The following is a 6,000-nucleotide window of genomic DNA, read 5'->3' on the forward strand; positions in this document are numbered from 1 at the left end:
ACAGGTATCTCCTTTCCTCACACTCAATGACTTTTTCCAACCTCATTCAACATGTAAATTGAGAGACAGAATAGAATTGTGCCCAACACTGCCTACCCACTACCCACTATCGATTTGCTCCTTACACTAATAGAACCCCCATTATGTCTGGTGTGATGATGTACTTAGTTAAACTACTTCTTCCCAAACTCTCTTGCATTTATGCACAAGCACGTGACCCAGTTTTGCTCAAAGAGACGTAGGTAAAAGTTGCTGAGTAGTACTCCCAGGAAAGGTTTTTGGTTTTGTTTTGCTAAAGGGAAAGACCTGGCAGAAGTGAACCCTTTGATTCTTTTCTTTAACTCTTATCCTATTATTTTGCCTGGGACACGGTCACAATGTTGAGAGGTGGAGCAGCCACTATCTGGCCATCTGAGGTTGGCAGAACCAGAAGTGAAAAACAGTCTATATTCCTGAATTTCCTGAGCAAATGCATCAGGACTAGGCTGCCTATCTCAAAACTTCTTATTTATGGAAGAAAAATAAAGCCTTTTGTGCTTAAGCCCCTGGAGTCTGGTTTTGTTCTATGCAGCCAAATGTAATCCAGGCTGATGGAAAGTAATTGGAAGAATGAACAGCTTATTAATTGCAATTATTATTTATATTATTTCTCTATACCCCCTGCCAGAATATAAGCTTCATGAAGGTAATCATTGTGTTTGTTTACTACTATTCACTAATATTGGGCACTGTAGACATTCAATAAATTCTTGCTGAATTAATGAATAAATGAACAAAGAATGGCACTCATCTTTGACTGCTTAATTTACATTGTTTAGTTCCCCAGTGAGAGCATTCATCAGGTGCTGAGACCCAGGCTTCTTTGGCATCCTTCAAAGCACACATCACAATGGCAAAACATACCTGAATGAAAGAATGACTGATGGTCACAGGCTTCAATCCCAGCTCAGTCAGTTATCAGCTGTGTCACCTTGGGCGAGTCACTTACTCTTTCTGAGCCTATTTCCTCTTCTTTAAAGTGAGAAGAACACTTACTTCACAGAGTTGTTGTGGGTATAGGAACAATATATATGTCTCAGATTGGGTACTCTAAAAAGCAGAGGACTTGGTTATGGGTAGTTTACTTGGGGGGTAAGCTCAAGGAGCTAAGAGAGAGAAACGGGGGACAGAAGAGAAGTCATGACACAAATGGATTACTGAAGTCTTTGATATAGGCAATGGGGGCTTGATATGACTCTGAACTCATACAGATGGGTCCATCTCCACTGGGGTAGATATCAAAGTTGCTCCAAGATGCAACTTGGGGCCCCAAAGCATCTGCTATCATGTGTAAAGTACCTGACCCTTTATAACCATCAAAATGGCCAAAACTAAAAAGGTGAACATACCAAGCGTTGATGAAGATGTGGGGAGGGGAGTATTCGTGCATGGCTGTGGGGTGTGTAATGAGTGCAGGCTTTTTAAAAAACAATCTGGCTTGTCTCAGTGAAATTTAGTTGGTACATGCGCTATGATCTGGTGACCTCCCACATCCCAGGCATACAGCTTAGAGGAACTGACTCATGTACAGGTTTATAAGGACATCTTTATTCAGATGTTCACTGAGCTTGTTGGTGACAACCTGGAGGAAAGTTAGATACAAACTGAGTGTCCATTTTTAAAGGAATGGATAAGGAAACTAAGGTGGATGCACCTTATGAAATACCATGCAGCAGCAAAAAGCAACATACAAAATGGACATACAACAATGGCAATAGTTCTTCATGATAATGCATTGAGTGAAAAAAAGGTAAGAAAATAAATGAGATTTGTAACATGATGCCAATTATGGAAACTAAAATCCCACTCACAAAAAGGCTTTGCCTATTTGACAGGGATGCCTGCATATATCAGGACACATACCAAGGACACAGAGGGGATGCTTGTATGGGGGTGGGGCACGAAGGTGAGGACTGGGGATGATGGAGGTGGGGTGGGGGTGGAAGAGGAAATAAAACACAAGCAGGGCCTTCATAGACCAGGGTTTATTATGTGCTATGAACTGAGGAGTATGATTAATCATCTTCTCGTACCAGAAAGCCTAAACAGGTTTTTTAAAGTAAATAAAGTGCCTGGAACACCATAGGTGTTCAATAAATGGTTGCTAAAAATGTGACTGAAGGGACAATTGGGCAATTTCCCACAAAGACCTGCCATGTTCCCTAGAAACTAGAAGGCTGCAAAAGAATGGCTTTCTCCACCTCTTGCCTCATAACTAGGGGGGGTTAATATTGGGTGAGTGGACTCTGTCAATTTGGATGGGGAAAAATCATATTTATTTGCACTAACCTCTGACTGCAGTTTAGCATGTCCATAGTTGTATTAGTGATATCTATGAGTTTATCACAAAGAGAAATCATAGATATTTTTTCATCACGTTATAGTTGTTGCAGATATCTTGAAATATGCTCAGCACTATATGGAAATTATAGTAGTTATTAGACTTGCCAGTAGATCATATTTAATGCATTAGTAAATGTGCATTTATCACATATCTGGCTTTTTTTATTACTGTATTTCAACATCATTAGTTTCTTTTGTGATTCTCTGTATTTTATTTCATGTGCTTAAGACTATTATTCTGAGAAAAGGTCTATAGGCTTTACCAGATGCCAAAGGGGTTCAATGGCATGGCAAAGGTTAAGACTCACCCCTAAATAAGTTTTATCAGTACTTCTTTAAGTCACAAGGATTGGTGAGAAAATGCACTATTAGACTTTCCATTGCACCATCCTCACTGGCCAAGAAGGAGTTAAATGGTGTCCCCAGCACTGTATTGTCATCCAGCTGGTGCTGGTGCCAAAGCGGCTAGTGCCTGTCCTTCCTGTAGGGACAAGGGAGGAGAGGAGCAAAGGAAAGGAAGGAAAGAGGAGGGAAAAGGAGAAAAGAAATGAAAAGATAATTTCTCCTGCTTTTTCACATCACTGAATTGAACTTTGCTTTTAATAAAAGCATTATTAAATAGAAATGGCATTCTCATTATTTTGCATTTAGGTGATATTCAGAAACATGGTCCCAGTAATTATTTGTGCTGGGCAGGGCCAGCACATTCTCTTTTCCTGAGTACAGTTGAACCAGCATGTCTTCTTCCAGGGCAGCCTTTCCCAAGGCTATGGAGAGATGTAAACAGTCTCTACTGTTTCTCCCCACTTACATCCATGAAACCAATAGGCACCCTTAATCAGGCCCAGAGTTCACACACTGGGCATGTGGTACCTGACACTTGATATAGAGAAATATTTCACCTCCATAATTTATAATGTTTTCATCAGAAGGCATCCCAGAAATAAAGGCTCTCTTCTTTATACACATCACAGCTAATCAGACCAGTGCTTAGTTTTGGTTCTCCCTGAGGCACACCACTACACAGCATTCAAGTGTAGCTAGTTTATTTGGGAAATGCAGGAAATACCTGGAAGGACATGGAGCAGTGAGACAGGGAAGGGAGGGCAGACAATGACAGGTGCATTATCAATCCAGGTACCACAGTGGGTGACTGGGTCTCGATCTCCTGGGGAAGCTCTGGGAAAGGGTGTAGAGCATGTGCCTCAGAGTTATCCCATCTAAGGGGTGAGGGAGGTGGGGTATTTATACATGAACCCCCATAGTCACTTCTTGTGAGCTGCTTCCAGGGGATATTACTTCCTCAGTGCTTCCAGCTTTCACAAGGAAAGCCACTTTTCACAGTTTTGAAAATATCCTTGGGCATAGATCTGCAGACACTGGCTGTTGAGGGTTAGAGGGAGCCAACTGAATTGGGAAAGAGGGAGGGGCACTGGTGGGGTGCTGATGGCATCTGCTACTGACCTAATGTTGGTAAGCCATCTGCTGCTCTCCAGTGTAACAACCTCTTCACCTCTCCCCATCTCAGTTTCTCCATCTCTGCAAGAGGCCAAGGCTCTTCAAAAGTTGCAAACCAAAGCCCTGAGAACCAAATGAGGTACTTGGGTGGATTTTGTGTGGCCTTCATGGCTTTTAAAAAATTTTTAAATTGAATCAACTTCTCAAAATCACGAACTTTTGCATGAAAACATGACTATTTATGTTCTCTAGAAAAATATTTGGCAACACTAGACCCCAAACTAGATGATCCCCAATGCCATATGGTTCTGAGAATCTAGACGTTCCTCTTTCCTGCCAAAGTAAAATGGTTTAAGGGAAACCTTTCACGGCTTGTGGGCAGATTCTCTCCTGTCCCTGTTTTCTGAAAGGTTTTTGGTTCAGAGTGTTTTTGTTTGTTTATTTTGTGCGTGGTTTGGGGGTTTTGTGGTTGTGATTTTTGTATAGGACAATGCAATTTTCTGCCTTTTCACATAGCTGAGGAGTGGGGAATTTTTGGTTTTAAAAAATCCAGGTAGCCTCAGCCTGCCCTGCCAGGGTTTTAGAGCCAGTATGTTGTAGCATCAGCTGGCAAGCCGGCTGCTTGCAGGGAAGGCCCAGCCATCTGTTCCCGGAGACGGTGAGAGAGCCATCTTCCTTCCTCCACACCTGCCCTGAAACACAGGCCCAGAGACATTTTATAACCCAGAAACAGCTCTTGTCTGTGCCAAATATAGGACCTCAAATTCCTCTGCTCTTTCCTGTATTCTCCATTGGCTCCTTGTTGGTTATCTCCAGCTCAAAGAATCTCTCCAGCTACCGGGTTCCAGCCAAATGCCAGAGGCCACCAACTGTGCCTATCAACAGAAGTGGGAGTCAAGGGCTCTCAGCCCCGTTGCTGAGCTGCCCTGGGAGTCAGCAGCTGATGACACGGGCTGTCCCCTGATTGCCAATCTAGATGGCGCTTTGAAACATCCCATCCCCGGTGATCCCCTCAAAGGCAGCTGTGATTAGTTTAGTCTCCGAAGTCTTTGAGAAAAACCTCAGTGACTTTGAATAATAATAAGAAAGCCCACCTAAAAGCATAGAAAGTCTGAATCCAAGGGTCTTTTTGAACAAAATGAAGTTTTATTCATTTCACATGCATGAAATAAGGGCTAACAGGATGGTCAAGGAGCAACTTTGACTTAATGAATGGATAAGAATCATCGATTGGGTCACTGTCTTGTCTTTTTTTTTTTTTTTTTAACAACAGAAATGGGTACTGTTAAAATGATTTTCAGGTCCATAGAAACAATCTGAATTCTTGACCTAGCTGGGAGTTGCCTTTTAAAGTGTGATTGAGAATATGGCTCTGGCATCAATCAGACTGCTGGGGTTCTGAATCCAGGCTCTCCCATTCATTAGCTGTGTGACCTTGGGCAGGCCTTGACCTCTCTGTGCCTCAAAGTAATCGCCTGCAAAATGGAGAGAATAATAGGACCTTCCTCACAGTGTTGCTTTGAAGATTAAATGAGACATCCACGAAGAGCACTCCAGACAGTACCTCGTTCAGAGTCAGAACTCAGTAAATGTTATATATTATTGTTGTGTTATTATGAATGATTTTTTTTCAAGGATAGTGCCAAGATTCACATCAGTTCTAGTTCTCCGTGACAAAAAAATAAATCCAAATTTCTGAATAGTGGGGTCTGAATTGATGAGCTCTTACCAGCATCTTGCTTTTCTCCGGGTCCTTGTCACAGTAAATCTGATAAGAAATGCAGGGGGTGTGCTCTCAGCAGACAAAAGCCCGCGGTGGGGCTGCTCTGCATTGGCTGCCGGCCTGAGGTTGAGAGGAGGGCAAGCTTGCCCCAGTGCAGCCGGCCTCTGTACAGTGCCCATGGGCCCAAGGAATTTGTGTATTCAGCTGGCCTCTCAGCACCTCCCTGCTCATTCGCAGGTGGAGGTGAAACATCAGAATTCAATGTTTTGTCACCTTGTGAAATTATGAGACTCCATTCCAGTTGCGTTTGTATCATCAGAGCACAACGGACACGTGGGGTAATTGCTGTTGCTGGGTTACTCCTTGTAAGTTCAAACAGTTTCACATGCTGAATGACAATATGTTTGCCGTGACCTGGGTAAATTAAAACAATGCTT

Source organism: Homo sapiens, chromosome X (genome assembly GCF_000001405.40).
Source record: "Homo sapiens chromosome X, GRCh38.p14 Primary Assembly".
Taxonomy (NCBI): Eukaryota; Metazoa; Chordata; class Mammalia; order Primates; family Hominidae; genus Homo; species Homo sapiens.